This window comes from Homo sapiens, chromosome 4 (genome assembly GCF_000001405.40).
Source record: "Homo sapiens chromosome 4, GRCh38.p14 Primary Assembly".
Lineage (NCBI taxonomy): Eukaryota > Metazoa > Chordata > Mammalia > Primates > Hominidae > Homo > Homo sapiens.
Window position 1 is genome coordinate 20,006,565 of NC_000004.12, and position 20,033 is coordinate 20,026,597.

The 20,033-nt window shown below is 37.8% G+C and overlaps 1 long non-coding RNA gene across 1 annotated transcript; it reads left to right on the plus strand.

Annotated features, from left to right (window-relative positions):
- Positions 1–352: 352 nt before the first annotated feature.
- LOC105374513 (uncharacterized) lies at positions 353–19,752 on the plus strand. The gene is made up of 3 exons (XR_925449.2): positions 353–434; positions 5,216–5,331; positions 19,628–19,752. It is a non-coding gene; the product is annotated as an uncharacterized LOC105374513 (long non-coding RNA).
- Positions 19,753–20,033: the final 281 nt, after the last annotated feature.

The window sequence follows — 20,033 nt, forward strand, 5'->3', positions numbered from 1 at the left end:
CAGCATGGATAAAGCCGAAAATTGTGCTCCCCATAATTTCTTTTCTTGTATGGCTCCAGGTTAACATTGGTCAAAATGGTACTTGCACGAGATATAGAAGGTGGAAGCAAAACAACAGTCGTTCGTTTCCCCTAGAAGGTGGTTGCAATTAGATACCATGATAAACAGGAGAAGATTGCTTTTGCTCTCCTGTGCTCTAGGTATATCTCATCTTCCAGAAGGCTGACCTGCTGATCAATAACGACCCAGGCCCACCACCAGAGAGCTGGCTTCACACAGCAGAGGGAGAAACTACACAAATACAACAGCTCTCCATAGACCTCTCCACAAATCCCTTTTCTTTGGTCCCCAATAGGTATCTTGAATTGCTTGGCTTTTTATAATTCCCTGAAAACGCTGGCTTGCTGAACTATACCACTGCTTCAGGAAGAGTGGTGAGTGTTACTTTCTCTGACTTTTTGAACTCCTCTTCTAGACTTTTACTTCCCTAATGTTTCCCACATTGGCTCGAGGTCCAATTCCTATAATAATTCCTCACTCCCAAGTACTCACTGTGGCTTTACTCGCTTGTCTCAACTCTGACTGATACACACAACCAAGACCATGAAGCAGACCCTAGGACAGTCACAGCTAAAGTCCATGCTCTTCTTTTCTATGGATTATGGTTTTTGGCTATCTTTATGTTTAAGGGGTGGTTCCAGGCCTACTTCCAGCCCTTAAAAGAGGGATAGAAAATGTAATAGTCACAGATCGCCACAACACAAGGCAGGAGGAACTAAAATTCATAAGAAAAGTGCAGGCAGAGCATTAAGGGCCTTCAAAGATAGAAGAGAAGATCTGCTAAATGGAGCCTTTGGAGATGAATGCTCCCTCAGCATTCACAGTGAAGAGAGTAGAGGTCATCAGATGGAGAAGCACAGAGAATGAAGAAATTATGTAATAAGATGGCAATTTTTTTTCTAAAAAGCCAAATCTGGATTTCTATTGGGGAGAAAGCTAGATTAGTAGGAAAAAAATGCATATGTTACAAACTGAGCAAATAATGCTTCCCTCCCCTCAAGGGCTAGTGTGAAAAGTCTTAAAGAAAGGGGAAACTACTCTCATTATGAAGGCAGAGGAATTTGAAATGGGGTTTGGGTATGGATGTGAAGTGCAGAAAAATCAGGGAAAGGAGGAATGAGAAGGGGACAGAGGCAAGAAGAAAAGGAGAAGGAGGAAGAGGAAAAGGAGGAGGAGGCAAGAAAGTAAAGGACAGGAAAAAGGGGGAAGAACTTGAACAAAATAGGAAGGAAAGGAATAAAGAAGAAAAAAAAAAGCAAGTGGACAGAGAAGAGAAAATGATTCCCAGTGGCAGAAGGTTTTAATATGTAAATGCTCCTATATTAACCCCAAAGTTTACAAAATAATTTTTTAAACTAAGTACATCATACGAGCAAAGTCTTGGATGTGAACACACAAGAGTTTAACATCAAGGTACAGTATTGCCAAGGAAAACTGATATGTCCCACTGGAATGCAAGAGCTTGAGGGTACAGGGAAGCTTGAAACAAGATCCACAGACTTGGCTGAAATCATGGGAAAGATTTTGGAACATCACAAGTCATGGATTGGAGTTTCAGACAAGTTTAATGAGCTCTCTGGAGGGCAGGGGTACCCCATATGACATCTGTGTTATTATAATTAGTTACCATACATTGAACATTCTAAGTACATATGCCATTTAGCCATCTCCAAAACCATAAAGTGTATACTATTATTATCTTCATTTTACTAATAAGAAAACAGAGCAGTTGAATAACTTCATAAGATCACACAGCTTAAAAGGGTCAAAGATGATATTCAAACCAAGGTTTTTCTGATTCCAGAACCAGCAACTTAATCTTAATTCTCAATGACTTAGAAACAGTTGCATGCACTATAGTCTCCTTTATTCTCTCTGACTCTGCACTATGTTGAAACCAGAACACTACATAAAATGTAGAATCTGCTATCAATTTTTCCAGGGCCACTTCTTATTATTGTTTCTTCAAATGAGACAAAGCTGCAAAATCACTGTTTCTTTTCATTAGGCACTTGGTAAGGGACTGTTCAGCTATCACAATAAAGCTAACATGATCTCAACCATTCTTATTAAGACAAGTGTTTTAAATTAAAAATTAACATCTTTGACACGTTAGAATGGTATATATTAACTCGAAGTCAGGTTTCTAAATAGGAAAAATATGAGATTAGCATGATCTAATGGACAAGGGGAAAGAACACCTTCTCTCATTCCTATCTTCTAACATGGAAGGAAATACTTCCTGTGCTTTTGCTTAAAATCAAAAAGCAGGGTTAAAAGGTCAAGTAAAAACAGAATGCAGTTGACAATAAGTTTAACCATACATTATAGGTATATATTTTTAACAGGTGACTTGATATGAGATTCTTATAAATCAGAAAGGAAATCCCCAATCATGGTTCCTATTACTCTGTCTTTTAACCATTGAAGACTAGTTTCTATTGAAAGTCTCTTTTGTGTTATTTTTATATAATGTTAGTGTCTGGCTTAAAGACTAAGAAATAGGCTGGTGCACTCTAAAATAACTGTTGAAGTATGAGACACAGGATTCCCTGGATACTGGAGGTGCCTCATTTATCCTCCTTGTTAAATCACAGCCACCAAGTTGAAACTAAAAAAATAGAATTGCCCATTTCTTTGGCACATATGTCATAAAATAAACAATTGATTTTATGTTTACGTGTTTGTGTTTCTGTTTTCACAATTTTAAGTACATCGCTTTTTGAGGTTTCTTTTTTTGTTTTTTGGTTTTTTATGTGTTTGTTTTTAAGTTATTGAGTACAGATTGGAATGTTTGACTTAGATCAGGTGAGTCCCCTAAACTGGTAAATATTTACACACATTTAACCTATAAATAAGTTCAGGACAATTGTCTGAGTTTTTAATTACTTATATTTTTTAATGTGTGTATCTAAAGCTGAGCATGCATATCTTATAATTACCAGAAAAAACTTTCGATCCCCTTAGTTTTTGTTAAGATCTAGGGCAAGCTGTAGCCAACATTTTCTGTAAAGGTTCATATAGTAAGCATTGAAGGCCCAGAGTTATCAACCTCAGCGCTACTGACATTTTGTATGAGATAATTATTTACTGGGGAGAGCTGTATTGATCACTCTATGAATCTTAGCAGTATCCAAGTCTCTTCCCATAAGAGTACAGTAGTATTCACCTCTTATAGTTTCAACAACCAGAAATCTCTCCAGATTTTGTCAAACGTTCCTTAAGACCTAGAAGCAAATTTAGCCGTGGTTGAGAGCTATTGCTTTGTAATATACAGGTCATACAATCTCGGTTGCAACTATAAAAGTGTCCATAGATGATATGTAAACAAAAGAGCATGGATGTGTACCAATAAAAGATTATTAATGAAGACCAAATAGTGAACTTTATACAATTTTCCTGTGTCATAAGTTATTCTTCTTTTGTTTTATTGTTTTTCAACCATTTCAAACTTTCAAAACAATTTTTGGCTCATAGGGTAGACAAAATGACAGCAGACCATGGTATTCCAATTCCTAATCTAGGGGGTCAAATGATAAACAAGATGAGTCTCTGCTTCAAAACACTCCTGATCTACAATAACAAATGTTTCTTTACTTGGTAAATCCTTTCAAAAAGATATGTAAAGGTAGCACCAAGGGATTTGGTTTACAGAGAAGGCTGCACTGAGAAGGGACTAAATTATCCCAGTAGATGACCAGAAGTCCACCAGGGAGTCCATGTCAGGGGTGGTAGAGAGGCACATATTTTATACACCAAACTATCAATTATATATCATTTGATATTGATACAAATGTATATATGTATGTGTATATATTTTTATTTCTTTCAAAGAAGCAACATCCCAAAATTAGATAGATTAGAAAGCCTTCTTTCAACCACCTTTCTCCACATTTTTGATTGGTTGGTTGTTGTTGGTACTAGTTCTGTCTTGAATCCAGGGTTTGCATATATAACGATACGTTTTTTGGTGTTTTTTTTTTGTTTTGTTTTGTTTTTTGCGGAGAGTCTCGCTCTGTTGCCAGGCTTGAGTGCAGTGGAACGATCTTGGCTCACTGCAACCTCTGCCTCCCAGGTTCAAGCCATCATCCTGCCTCAGTTTCCCAAGTAGCTAGGACTATAGGTGCGCACCACCATGCCCAGTTAAATTTTGTATTTTTAGTAGAAATGGAGTTTCACCATGTTGGCCAGGATGGTCTCGATCTCTTGATTTCGTGATCTGCCCACCTTGGCCTCCCGAAGTGCTGGAATTACAGGAATGAGCCACCATGCATAGTCTTGAGACAAGTAGTTTTTCTGTGCTGGAGGAATGACAGCAAAAACAATCATAAATGCAGCAAGCTTATTTACGAACAAATTGATTTGAGGGAGTTGAAATCAGCAAATATTGGGATGGATTTATGTGAAGGACAAAATTCCTTGAGCTGTTCTTTCCAAATGTACCCAAAGAAGCTCTTTGTAATTTTTAAAGAATAAGCTGCATACATTGTGATGAAGTGAACTTAAGGAAATAAAATGCATTCAGTTTGGGGAAAACGGGTTTTTTTCCCCTTTATTTCCTTGAGTTTTATCTTCCCTATCAAGTTGCTGCCATCCTCAGAGCAGTGGTTTCTGTAACATGTACTGATATAGACAACCCAATATCAGAACTATATTTGCCGTGTAACTTTAATCCTCAACTTTGGCCACAACTATTCACAGTGATTAATACCAACTGAGCTATACAGTTGTCAGTTGTTCTCAAGAGAAGCATCAGTGTCTCTTGTGTGCATCTGTGGAAACCACTGAAATGGATAAAATTGAGGGTTAAGCTACCCTGTACTCTAACCATTTCCTTGTAAGCATCCAGTCTAAGAGTTATTCATCTGACCTCTTCACTAAATAGTACCCTTACACTGTTACCCCAGGAAATGAAATGTACTGTAACAGATCAGGGAACGACTCATGCTGATTAGTGAAACTTTCCAAACAACTAAAAATGTGCATCTTTAAGTGTAGATAGATGATAAACAGATACATACACACATGTGTGTATGTATAGTTATAGATGTACATACATATATATGCATAAGCATATATATGTGTGTATACATATTTCTTGTATGCCATGTATTCTCCTATCATCAATTTCATCTCCTTCTCTTTTGTATTTTAGTTGGTAATTGGTGTTTCTCCGTTACTATACCATCCCACAATGTGTTTGAGGGAAGCAATTATGGCTTGCTCATATCTGGAGACACTACAACACTTTATGCAATGCTTAAGCATGCAGTAAGTATTTGTTGCATTTCAACTCAACTACTAAAAAACTTAATAGTATTACTAAAAACACAATGATTGGTAAAGGGATATTTTAGAAACAATTATGGTATATGGGTCTTGTTTTAGAGAAATTATTCACCAAATATTACAGATAAATGCTCCAAAAATAATTGTATTTATTTTTGCTATTGTCATGCATCTAGTGAAAGATTGAGACTACTAAGTAGTGAAAACAGCCTAAAATATTTTAGTTTATCTCAGAAAATCACATGTAGCAATTATCAGATATTACCCACTCTGGTTTCTCAAGCCTCTGCTCTAGGGGAGGGAGTGTTTCCTTAAATTACTTTAAGAATAATGAATAAATAAACGAATGAAATTTGAAGAGACAAGACAACTCCTCTGTGGAGTGGCACTCACAAGAAAGAAAATCTAATAAAGGTACCTTCAAACTTCAATGTGCATCAAAATCGCCTGTGGGACTTGTTGAAACACAGATTACGAGGCTCCATACTCAGAGTTTTCTGCTTCCATAGGTCTGGGTAGATGCCCAGAAATGTGCATTTTTACTAAGTTCCAAGGTGATGCTGAAGTTGCTGATATGGAACCCTACTTTGAAAAACATAGATCTAATGTCATATTTCATGTATCCATCCTTACTATTTCTCTCACTGATTTAGGTAACTACGTTCTTTTATACATGATAAAATCGACAGTTGGAAATCCAGTTACAACTTCTCTTATCTCATTTGGATAGTGTTTCCATGGAGGATTTCCTTCTTCATATTTACTGGGAAATTTATGATTTTCTAAATCCTGAATCTCATGAAAAATCTTTCAACAAATCTGAGAAAAGTGTTATAAATCCCCTGTGAGAATTGAAGCATAACACGCACCATTGAAATGTGACTAATCTTACAGAAAACACTGACTTGAAAGCCAGGGCAGGGAACACCAACACACAGAGTCAAAGATTGAGGTCAACATTTCTGAGAAGCAGGACAGAACATTTAGAAGAGAAGGTGTCATGATAAATTGATCAGTATGACGTTTCGCTGCTCCCATGTTATCAGTTTGTGTACATGGCCCTGTCCATTGCTAATGGTGAGCCATTCCAACAAACAGAAATAAGCTTATATGTACTGTATACTTTATACCCACCCTATGAGTGTTGTTCTAAGAAATAACAAGTTTAGAAAGCAAAATACATTTTTAATTGCCAATTTCAAAGCATGATTTTCTTAACATTGATAGGAAATTGGAATCTTAACGTTATTTACATAGTGCTTATTAATGTTCAGTGGCATTTTTTCAGTGTTTGAATATTACCTAGGTTACAGTTCCTGGTAAACACTTTATCAGAATTAACGCAAGGAAAGAAAACCTGAATGTTGTTGTAGAAGACTCTGACATGAAATCAGAAACTGATTTAGAATCTGTTTTAATATTGCAAAGCAATAATAATTTCAACAGCAAATGAAAATTGGGGCAAGTGGACAAAACGTTTTTATTAATAAGGAATTAAATGTGTTCTAAAGCACTATACATCCTTACAGCTAACCTGGAGAAACTCAGGAATAAGCTTTCTAAAATATGACCAATTTCAATTCAGAAGGAAATAAATTTTTCTACATCTGAGATATTTGTCACAAAAAAGAGTATTTATATTGAATAGGGTATTTAATGTCTTGAGTGTTGTAAAATTTCATTTTAGAATGATAATTTATTAATATTAAGTAATTTATGTTGTCCTTTAGCTTTAAATTATTTTATTTGATACTTACTTTTGTGTTCATTCTCCTTCCTTTAGTTTTCCTATTATGAAATATATATATCAAGCTGAGAACATTTGTACATATTATTGAAATATAAATGTTGTCACAATATATTAATACTGGTAATAATAAACCATACACTTATTATTACATCCATTTTATTTTGCAAAAAAAAATTTATGAAATAATGTAAATCTACTGCTGAAAAAAGATTCACTGTTTATTTTTATAGTCACTTATTATTACTGAAAATGCATAAAGTGCTTTGAAAAAAATGTAAAAGAACCTGATTTTGAGAATTTCTACAAATTCCCAGGAATTCTAATTTCTTTTTTGTTGTTGTTGTTGTTTTATTTTTGAGACAGAGTCTCTGATATGGTTTGTCTCTTTTTCTCCACCCAAATCTCATCCTGAATTGTAATTCCCACATGTGAGGGAGGGAGGTGATTGGCTTACGGGGGCAGTTTCTCCCATGCTGTTTTCATGACAGTCAGTGAGTTCTCACGAGATCGGATGGTTTTATAAGTGTTTGGCAGTTCCTCCTACACTCTTCTCTTTCCCAACAACTTGTGACGAAGGTGCCTCCTTTCCCTTCTGCCATCATTGTAAGCTTCCTGAAGCCTCCCCAGCCATGCAGAACTTTGAGTCAATTAAACCAAATTCCTTTATAAATTACTCAGTCTCAGGTATTTCTTTACAGTGGTGCGAAAACAGACTAATAACGGAACAGGCTGGAGTGCAGTGGTACCATCTCCGCTCACTGCAACCTCCCCCTCCTGGCTTTAAGCAATTATTTTGCCTCAGCCTCCCGAGTAGCTGGGACTACAGGTGTGTGCCACCACTCCTGGCTATTATTATTACTATTATTATTATTATTTTTAGGAGAGACCGGGTTTCACCATGTTGGCCCGGCTGATCTCAAACTCCTGGCCTCAAGAGATCCACTGAACTCAGTGCCCAAAAGTGCTGCGATTACAGGCATGAGCCACCGAACCTGGCCAATTCTTATTTGTTGTTTCCAAATTCAAAGATTAATATCTATCAGAAATTTGGAAATGCTATGCTTGACAGAGGCAGGCATTTTCAATTTCCAAGTTTCACGAAGTAGCAAACACAAGTATTTTATTTCTATTTATTGATTTTTTTAAGCTTTTATTTTAGGTTCAGGGGTACATGTGCAGGTTTGTTGTATAGATAAATTGTGTCTTGCAGGAATTTGACATACAGATTATTTACCCAGGTAATAAGCTCAGTATCTGATAAGTAGTTTTTCAGTCCTCACCCTCCTCTTGGCCAGATCCTGTTTATTTATGAATAAATAAACAAATGAAATCTGAAGAGAGAAGACAACTCTCTCTGCCCAAATCTGCTCCTTCTGCAAACTTCTTCATCTCAATTTGTGACAAGTCCATTCTTACCAGCATTTAGGGTGAACACTTGGAACCTTACTTTTTTCTTTCCTTTTCCTCATGCCCCACGCCTAGTTTGGAAGAAAGCTGTGCTGGGTTTACCTTCCAAATACATCCAGAATCTGACCACCTCTCCACTACCCGAGGCCAAGCCACTGCATTGCACATTTGAGCCATGCAAAAGCTTCCTCGTCTGCCTTCCTACAGGTTATTCTCAACACAGCTGCCAAAGTCATCCCTTTAACATTTCTCTGGAGTACTTCTCCAGTTCAGAACAAAAGACAAAATTATTGCAGAAGCCTTATGTGCCCCTCCACGGTGTATCCTTGGTTACTCTCTGTCAACTCCTACTTTATCTCCTTTGCACACTCTGCTCCTTGAACGTACCAGGCTCACTCTCTTTTTAAGGCCACTGCTGTTTCCCCTGCCTAGAACATTTTTCCTAGATACCTTTCTTGTTCACTCAGATAATTGGTGAGAACAAGTCTCTTTAATAGCAAATCGACTGGAAAATACTAGGAAAGCACATGGATGTATGCGGAGAGGTGGATTTTTTTTCTGGCCTGTATTTTGTCCCTTTGCTACTAGTTATTTTAATTACCTCCTAGAAATAGGCCATGTTAGCCCACTCATCTTTCTTTTTCCCACAATTGAAGAAATATTTGTTACATTGCCTAGAGCCCAGAATCTCGTTGCTAGGGTAGAAGTTTCCAAGGGTTCTTTGGCATATGTCCCTGAACAAAAGATGTTTTAAAAAATCTTTTATATCATATTTTTACTGTTCCTGTTCTATATTTAGATCTGTTTAGATATATAATACATCCCACTATGTTACTCATGCCTACAATATTCAGTACAATCACATACTGTTTAGGTTTTTGGCCTAGGAGCAATAGGCCATACTGTATAGCCTAGGTATGTAGTAGGCTATATCGTCTAGGTTTATGTAAGTAAACACTATGGTGTTTGCACAACGATGAAATCACCTAACTGCACGTTTCTCAGAACTTAGCTCTGTGCTTAAGCAACAATGCATGACTGTAACTAAATTGGATACCATGGTGTAAAAAGTAAAGGTTTCCAGTAGCATCCTAAAAGACTCTTTTCCAGAAACCAGAATGTTTTTATATTTTCAGTAAGCAAGATCTGTTTTGCTTAAAAGAGTGGTTGTTAGTGCTCTGCCGTAAAAAGGTCCAGTTCTCCTTATGGAAATCTGAGATGGATGTATTTTCCTGCCTTACTTGAAGTCAGAGGCAGCCATGTGTCTCATATTGGCAATAGGATGTCAGCGGAAGTGATGTTTGTCATTTCTTTTCTTTTTTTTTTTTTTTTGAGACGGAGTCTTGCTCTTTTGCCCAGGCCAGAGTGCAGTGGTGGTGCTATCTTGGCTCACTGCAAGCTCCACCTCCCGGGTTCATGCCATTCTCCTGCCTCAGCCTCCCAAGTAGCTGGGACTACAGGCGCCCGCCACCACGCCCAGCTAATTTTTTGTATTTTTAGTAGAGATGGGGTTTCACCGTGTTCGCCAGGATGGTCTCGATCTCCTGACCTCGTGATCTGCCCGCCTCAGCCTCCCAAAGTGCTGGGATTACAGGCGTGAGGCACCGTGCCCGGCCTGATGTTTGTCATTTCTAAGCTAATGTTTCAAGAGTCAGTCTGTAGTTTGCCACATTTACTTTGGTCTGCTTTGGTGACTGTGCAGCATAAAGGTGAAGACTCCTGCATGCCGAGGTCCTGAGTGAAGGTGATCTAAACTGCAACTACCCAGCTGGCCTGCAATGGTCAGAGAGAATAAATATGAAATAAACTTAGGTCGTTTTAAGGCATTGAGATTAGGTGCTTTTTTGGTTTTGATTTGTTTTTCATTTTTTATATTGCAGAACAACTTAACCTATCCTGACTTATACACCTAATCTAAGGTATTTTTTATTTTCCAATTTTTGACTGTGTTTGAGTCATTTACGCAATTATTGTCATTTTTTTTATTTTTACAGGATTAAAACCAGTTTTTGAGTAAGAATTTCAAAAGTAATGAGTGGACTGCCTCCTGAACAAAGCATTCAGCACATTGCTTACAGTCCTCTTGCAATCATTTTGATGATTCTGAATACTCACTAGACACACAGATGCACAGAGCAATATTTGTGTAGAGTGATAGGAATTTCTGTGATGCTGCCAAAATGTTCATTTCTGCACATATAAATCCAACTCCCTTGCATTTATCATAGCTGAAAAATTCTTTGAGGTTTCTGTAACTGGCTTTTAACTGTCTCAGTGCCTGTTTTTTAGAGGGTTAGCATCCACTAGGAAAGCTTTCCCTGTCCCATTTCCTCAAAGCAAGGTGCTTCAAAAGACAGAACAGCTAGAAGTATTCCAGGGTATATTCATGATCCAAGCACCCACTCCTGAGAGGAGAGAGAAACAGAATTTAGAGGTAATCCCACCCAATTTTTGGACTTTTATGCAATTTGACTTAAAAAATCCACACCAATCTGGAGGCATATGGATTTATTTACTCATTTCCTTTGCAGAAGAGTACTTTAGGAATCATTTCTGCCTTTCCCCCACCTCCTGCCTTTCTCTGTCTCATCATTTGGAGGCTACAGGGGAAATAAATTTATCTTGAAGGAGTGTTATGAATATGATTGTGGCCATTATTTGATTAAATACTCAAAAGATATAATCCTACCCAGCGACCATGTCACATGAAGGAACCATGGTTACCATCAATTACTGTTCGTTTTCTGTAAACATGGACCTGAGCCAACTTTAGGGGGAAAATAAAAAGTTGGCAAATGATGTATTTGGCATCTTCCATCTGTCTTTTTTTTTTTCTCTACCCCTTCAGTTTTTGCTCTGGGTTTATTATTTTTCTTGGGGCACCAAAACTATTAGATCGGGGATTGTGTTTCTCGCCTACACTTCTTTAAATGTCTCCTGCTGTGGAAATGCTGTCCTCTGGCTCTTATTGTTATATAAGGACATCATTTTGAGCTACTGCCAGAGTGCTATGGAATCCCTATCTCTGAAATGGATTTCCAGGGAAAGTCTAGGGTAGGCTTTTGAGATGTTAAGCAAGTTCCTTAAGTTCATATAGCTGCCTGAAAGCAAACAAAGCATTGCATTTTAACAGGTTATCAATTATAAATGGATTTCAGGTATTAAAGAATGGTCAATTATAGATAAACGTTTGGGCTTAGGACTTTGACTAGAGCCCGTTTCTAGCTGACCTTGTGACTGACGCTGCCACATGGGCTCCACTTTGTTCACCTCGTGCTGCATTCAGGCATCTTGGAGAATTAACCTCAGTTCCAGAGGCAGGAGCTGCAGAATCTAAGCCAATCACAGTCATCCTGACTCTCATACCGTCGTGAATGTCTTAGGGATGGGCCAATCAGCATAGAGATTTATTCAGGAGCATGGAAGTGATGGCAACAGATGGGAGAAAACATTTCCTTAGGTCCTTTGGAGAATAAATTTCTTCCATTTTATGAAAAATATTTTAAGAATATTTAAGGGTCATTAAGAAATGACCCTTTTTCTCTTATCCAGGGAAGATGAGGAAGGAAGTAGGATAAGGACATGACACTTCTACCAGGGTTCACAAGGGGGTGCCAGCTTTACAAATACTTTGGCCTCTGAAAGCTGAAAATGATGTGAGGGAATTGGTCCTTGCTGACTTCATCATGCAACTGAAACAAACCTGCCCTGGAGTCCATGTTTGCTCTGCATTTCCTTCCAATTAAATGAGACCTGTAAATCTCCTTTTTTTTTTTTTTTTAACAATTTCAAGAGTTTTAAAATTTGCAACCAAAATATTCCTTCACTATTACACCCTCTAAGAATAATAGTCTCCAATAAACATATGTGTGCATGTGTCTTTATATTTATTGCAACGCTATTCACAATAGCAAAGACTTGAAACCAGCCCAAATGCCTATCAATGATAGACTGAAGAAAATCTGGCACATATACACCATGGAATACTATGCGGCCATAAAAAGGATGAGTTCATGTCCTTTGCAGGGACATGAATGAAGCTGGAAAACATCATTCTCAGCAAATTAACACAGCAACAGAAAACCTAACACCCCATGTTCTCACTCATAAGTGGGAGTAGAACAGCGAGAACACATGGACACAGGGAGGTGAACATCATACACCGGGGCCTGTTGGAGGGGTGGGGAGCTAGGGGAGGGACAGCATTAGGAGAAATACCTAATGTAGATGATGGGTTGATGGGTGCAGCAAACCACCATGGCACGTGTATAGCTATGTAACAAACCTGCAAGTTCTGCACAGGTATCCCAGAACTTAAAGTATAATAAAAAAAATAGAGAATAATAGTCTCTAACTTTCTAAAACATCCACATATGCCCAGTACCCAGGTGATTCATAATGCAGTCATGTATTGTTTAATGATGTGGATATCTTGTGAGAAAAGTGTTGTTAGAAAGATTTCCTATTTGTGCAAACATCATAGAGTACACTTATTACACAAACCTAGATGGTATAGTCTGCTACACACTTAAGTTATATGTTATAGTCTATTGCTTCTAGGCTACAAATCTGTACAGCTTGTTACTATACTGAATACTATAGGCAGTTGTAAAACAATGTTATATATTTCTGTATCTAAACAGATCTAAACATAGAACATGTACAGTAAAAATAAGGTATAAAAGATTGTCTAAACTTGCACACCTTTTATGGCACTTACCATGAATGGACCTTGCAGGACTACGGTTGTTCTGGGTGAGTCAGCGAGTGAATGGTGAGTGAGTGTGAAGGCCTATGATATTACTGTACACTACTTCAGATTTTATAAACGCTTAAACTTAGGCTACACTAAATTTATAAAATTAATATTATTTCTGTAATAATAAATAAACTTTAGCATACTGGAATAGTTTTCTTTATATGCTTTTAATTTTTTAACTTTTTGACTATTTTGTAATAACATTTAGCTTAAAACACACATTGTACAGCTGTCCAAAAATATTTTGTTTAATTCCTCTTTTATAAGCTTTTCCTATGGTTTTAAATTTTTTTTTGGCTTTTTAAATGACTGGCAGAGCAGCAGGTTTGTTTACACCAGCATTACCACAAACACATCAGCAATGTGTTGCCCTAGGCAGTTACAATGACTGTGATGTCACTAGGTGATACGAATTTTTCAACTTTTTTATAATCTTATGGGAGCACTGTCATATAGGCAGCTCATCATTGACTAATGCATCATGATGCAGTGCATGAATATATAATGTGTCTATAAAAATCAGATCTTTTGTCAGATAAATTTATGTTAAAAACATATTTGGGCTGGACACGGTGAATCACACTTGTAATCCCAGCTCTTTGGGAGGCTGAGGCAGGCAGATCACTTAAACTAAGGAGTTTGATACCATCCCGGGCAACATGATGAAACTCTGCTCTATAAAAATACAAAAATTTGCCAGGTGTGGTGGCGCATGTCTATAGTCCCAGCTACTTGAAGGGCTTAGGTGGGAGGATCCTCTTGAGATGGGGTGGTTGAAGCTGCAGTGAGCTGGGATTGAGCCACTGCACTCCAGTTTGGGAGAAACAGCAAGGTCCTATCTCAAAACACACACACAGACACACACAGACACACACACACACACACACATCCCTTTGAAGAGTCTCACTCCATGTTGAATAAGAGTAATGCTAATAACCATGATTAGACCTGCATATTCCTCAATAAAAATATTTTTGAATACCCCTATTATTTTTGCCCACAGAGAATGTACTGTATTTTGCTAGTAATGACAGACACTGCAGTTGTGTTTGGTTAATAATGCACAAATATGTTTAACAAAATGTGAATTTTTAAATTCTTCTTTGTTTCAGACATTTGTTTATGCCTAATAACATAACACAAATATCAATAGTTTTTATTTTCAAAGAATTAATCCATTAATTTGACATAAAATAACTTTTCTGGTTTTTATGAAGAGAAAAAATATGAGAGAGAAAAGAAAAACCTGAAGGCAATTATAGGTAAATGAAATTAACTATGAAATTCATTTACATAACTCCAGAATCTCTGTAACTGATATTTCCCTTCAATTTTAGTGACTGTATATCCTAGTCCCCTACGTGCATATAGTTGGCTGTTCTTTTCCTCCTCACCTTATTTATATCTTTTTTTTCTTTTTTTTTTAATTATACTTTAAGTTCTAGGGTACATGTGCACAACGTGCAGGTTTGTTACATATGTATACATGTGCCATGTTGGTGTGCTGCACTCATTAACTCGTCATTTACATTACGTATATCTCCTAATGCTATCCCTCCCCTCTCCCCCCACCCCACGACAGGCCCCGGTGTGCGATGTTCCCCTTCCTGTGTCCAAGTGTTCTCATTGTTCAATTCCCACCTATGAGTGAGAACACACAGTGTTTGGTTTTTTGTCCTTGCAATAGTTTGCTAAGAATGATGGTTTCCAGCTTCATCCATGTCCCTACAAAGGACATGAACTCATCATTTTTTATGGCTGCATATAAAAACCCTAGAAGAAAACCTAGGCGATACCATTCAGGACATAGGAATGGGCAAGGACTTCATGTCCAAAACACCAAAAGCAATGGCAACAAAAGCCAAAATTGACAAATCGGATCTAATTAAACAAAAGAGCTTTTGCACAGCAAAAGAAACTACCATCAGAGTGAACAGGCAACCTACAGAATGGGAGAACATTTTTGCAATCTATCTTTATTCATTTCTATTCTTAGCAGTTTTTCGCTTTGTGGGCTTTCCCTTCCTCAGTTCCCTCTTGTATAAAATAAGATTTTTGTTTTTAAATGCTTAAATGAGCCAATAGTGTAAAGTTCTTAGAACACTGCCTGGAACACAGTGTGCACTCATTGATTGCTTTGCCTTATTTATTAATGTTCCTAATCACCAACAGTGTTATATAACATACATGTAGCAAACACTTTTCAGTTGTTTTTATAAATGCAATTTTATTGGATACACAGTGCTCTGTGAAGAGTTTCTCATAATATAGTTTATTTTTTATTTGTGGTTGTTTAATAGTTACATTGTTTGTAGTTTGTGAGTTTTAATTTTTTTAGATGATTATTATAAGTAACCATGTAATGTATCCTTATTTATATATCTTTGATTAAAACTCTCTTATTTCCTTGGGATCCAGTCTCAGAATTGAAATCACTGGGTGAAGGAGTATACTGGTGTGACATATGTCTTCCAAATATTTCATGGAGTTCCCTACATGTAGCTTCCTTACTGCTGGTTGGGGCCTATTTCTGGCCAATGGGCACTGGCCAGTGGGGTGTAGACCTAAGTACGTTGTGTCACTTCCAGGATGAGCATTTAATTTCCAGAGAAAAAAGTTTGGATGTTTTCTCTGTCCATTCATGAGGGTCTTGTATTGAAAAATGGAGGCACCAAAAAGAAGCAGTTTATATCACTAAGTTGCTACATGAAGGACAACGTACCAGAGAGTTATGTGAATATAAAGCTACCCTACATGATCAAGAAGCAAACAGTTTTGGTGTTAAGTAGTGAGACTTGAGGTCTCTTTGTTATGGCACAAATAGGATGCTTCTGTGGTACAATGGCTTGCCTTTATCCACCCATGGTTTCACTTTCAGAGGTTTTAGTTACCTATGGTCAACTGGGGTGTGAAAATAGGTTAAGTACAGTACAATAAGATATTGAGAGAGAAAGATACCACATACACATAACATTTATTGCGGTACATTGTTATAATTGCTCTATTTTATTATTAGTTATTGTTGTTAATCTCTTACTACACCTAAGTGATAAATTAAACTTTATCATAAGTATGTATGTATAGGAAAAAACATAGTATATACAGGGTTTTGTACTATCTACATTTTCAGGCATCCAGTGGGGTCTTGGAACATATATCCCATGGATAAGGGGTGATATGGTTTGGCTGTGTCCCCACACAAATCTCATTTTGAATTCCCATGTGTTGTGGGAGGGACCCAGTGTGAGGTAATTGAATCATGGCGGCAGCTCTTTCCCTTGCTGTTCTTGTGATAGTGAATAAGTCTCATGAGATCTGATGGCTTTATAAAGAAGAGTTTCCCTGCACAAGCTCTCTCTCTTTGCCTGCCGCCATCCACGTAAGATGTGACTTCCTCCAACTTGCCTTCCACCATAATTGTGAGGCCTCCCTAGACATGTGGAACTGTAAATCATTAAACCTCTTTCTTTTGTAAATTGCCCAGTCTCAGGTATGTCTTTATCAGCAGCACAAAAACAAGCTAATATAAGGGGGAATTCCTATACTGACTTAGCAGTTGGATGTGAGGAGTTGAGGAAACTGAAATCAGAGTTTGGCAGGATACGGATTCATTTTATAGCACTGCCAAAGTAATTGACAAAATAGTGTCTTAGTCTATTCTTGCTGTTAATATAACAACTGTAGCTAGGTAATTTATAAATAATATAAATTTATTTCCTCACAGTTCTCGAGGCTGAGAAGTCCAAAATCAAGGCACCAGCAGGTTTGGTGTTTGGTGAGGGCCATGGTCTCTGCCCCCAGGATGAGGCAGGTTATTATGAAGGAAAGCTATGGTCTGAAACTGTCTCCCAAAATTTATAAGTTGAAACTTAATCAGCAATGTAATAGTATTAAAAAGTGGGGCCTTAAGTGTCATAGGATAGAGACCTCTTTGATGGGATTAGGACCCTTATAAAAAGTTTGGGTGTCCTCACATGGCAGAAGTATAGAATGCAGCAAACCTACTCCCTCAAAACTTTTCATAAAGGCCATAATCCCATCCATGAGGTCTCCACCCTCATGACACTTAATTATGTCCTAAGGCCCCACTTTTTAATACTATTACATTGGTGATTAAATTTCAACTTATAAATTTTGAGGGATGGTTTCAGACCATTGCTTTCCACCCCTGGCCCACAGAATGTTCTTCACACCTGCAACATACATTTATTTTATTCCAGTAGCCTCAAAGTCTCAACTAATTCTAGCATAACTCAAAAGTCTGAAGTTCAGAGTCTCATTCAAATCAAATATGGATGAGATTCGGTTAAGATGTGAACCTGTGAGATCAAACAAGTTATATACTTCCAAAACACAATGGTAGGACAGGCATTGAATAGACATTCCTATGCCAAAAAGGAGCAATAGGAAAGAAGAAGGGAATAACAGATCTCAAGTCCAAAACCCAACAAAGCAAACAATATTAAATCTTGAGGCTTCAGAATAAACTTTCGACTCCATATCCTGCCTTTTAGACACACTGAGGCAGGGCTCGGGACCCTAAAGCCCTTGGGGTCCCCACACCCACAGCTTTTCTGAACACAGCCCACACAGTAACTCACACAAGTTGAAATTGGGTTCCTGCACCTCTCTCAGGCTGGTGTTGCACACTGGTGGTTCGACAATTATGAGGTCTTGGGTATGACACTGACAAGGTTCTCAGAGGCATCCTTAGAAATCTAGGTAGAGGTACCAATGCTTCCATAGTTCTTGATGTCTTCATGGCTGCAGAGTTAGTAGCACATGGATACCACCATGATTTATGGCCTGTACCTTTCAGAGGGGCAGCTGAGCCACACCTGGGCCCATGAGCCACAGCTGGATGGTCAAGGAGCATTGCACTCTGGTGTAAGGAGCAGAGATGTGAGGTGCTACAAGGCAGCAAATGCTGAAGTCCTATGGGTGATTGGGTCTTTTTTTTTGTTTTTTTGTTTTGTTTTGTTTTGTTTGTTTTGGTTTTTTTGAGATGGAGTCTCGCTCTGTCACCCAGGCTGGAGTGCAGTGGCGTGATCTTGGCTCACTGTCACCTCTGCCTCCCGGGTTCAAGTGATTCTCCTGCCTCAGCCTCCTGAGTAGCTAGGATTTCACCAATCCCCAGAGACCCCAGAGATGGGGTTTCACCATGTTGGTCAGGCTGGTCTCGAACTCCTGACCTCGTGATTTGCCCACCTCATGATTTCCCTGCCTCAGCCACCCAAAGTGCTGGGATTAGTCCATGCCCACTTCTATGATAAAATACTTGTGACTTGGTAATTTATAAAGAGCAGAAATTTATTCTGGAGACTGAGAAGTCCAAGATCAAGAAGCCAGCAGGTTTTGTGTCTGCCAAGGTCCATGGTCTCTGCTTCCAAGATGGTGCCTTTAACACTGTTTCCTCACATGGCAGAAAAACAGAAGACAGCAAACCCACTCCGTCAAGCCCTTTTATAAGGGCCCTAATCCATCCATGACAGTTCCACATGACTTTAATCACCTCCTAAGGCCTCACTTCTTAATATTATCGCACTGATGATTACGTTTCAGCATGTGAATTTGGTGGAACACATTGATATCATAGCACTATTACCTATGGATCTGCGGACCTACGTGAAGGATTAGAAATTAGACACCTGTTGATTGAATGTCATTGAATGCTATTTACAATTTATTATAAGAAAAATAAATTCAGCAAAGAATTGGCCAACTTTCAAACATAATTGAAGGAAAAAGATAAAGTTCATTAATTCTGTAACTTGCCTGGTTGGAGAAAGTACCTGTTTATCAACTCCGAACAGTAGGAGTAAAGGTTATTAAGTCAAAAATGTCCAGTAAAACTTTCATCTGATTAAATACTCCCAGGACAAAGAGTAGACTAGAGTGTAATGCCTTTAAATATCATCAATAAAAATTATTAATAAGGTATTTTATATTTTTGTGCAAATACTAAAATTCACATCTCAACACAGACTGGCCACATTTCAATTAGCCATAACTGCATGTGTCTAGTGGCTACTGTGTTAGACAGTATAAACCTACCTACTTTAATAATATAGCTCCATATTATAAACTGGTACTTTCAACAACAAGAAGGACCACCACCTTCCTGATGCCTAAGTTAGAAAGTGTGATGGTTAAATGTATATGTCAACTTGAAGGGTGTTTTTGAAAGAGATTAAGATTTAAATTGGTGAACTTCCAGTAAGCACATTGCCCTCCATAATGTGTGTGAGCATCATCCAATTAGATGAAGGCCTGATTAGAACCAATAGACCAGCCTCCTTGAGCAAAGGGTAATATATCAGCAGACTGCCTTCAGACTTAATCTACATGTTTGTTTCTCCCAGGTCTTCAGGCTGTTGTCATTTGAACTAGAACACAACCATGAGCCCTCCTGGGTCTCCAGCCTGTTGGCCAACACAGCAGATTTTGGACTTGCCAGTCTCCATTATCATGTGAGTCGATTTACATATAAAGATTTAGATATACATATAGATACACATATAGATATATTGATTTATATCCAATTGTTTCTGGTTTTCTGGAGAACCTAATACAGAGAGCAATTACTTAAATGAAAGTCACTAATTTCAACCTTTTGTTCTATTGTCCACATCTGTCATAAAGTTTGGAAGTTAAAAACTACATTTTTCAGAATGATTATAGCTAAGGTCTTAGATGCAATTCAGATTCCACTAATGAGTTGCAGTTGCAAGATTTTTGGAAGATACAAGCGAGGAAAAATCTTTCTTC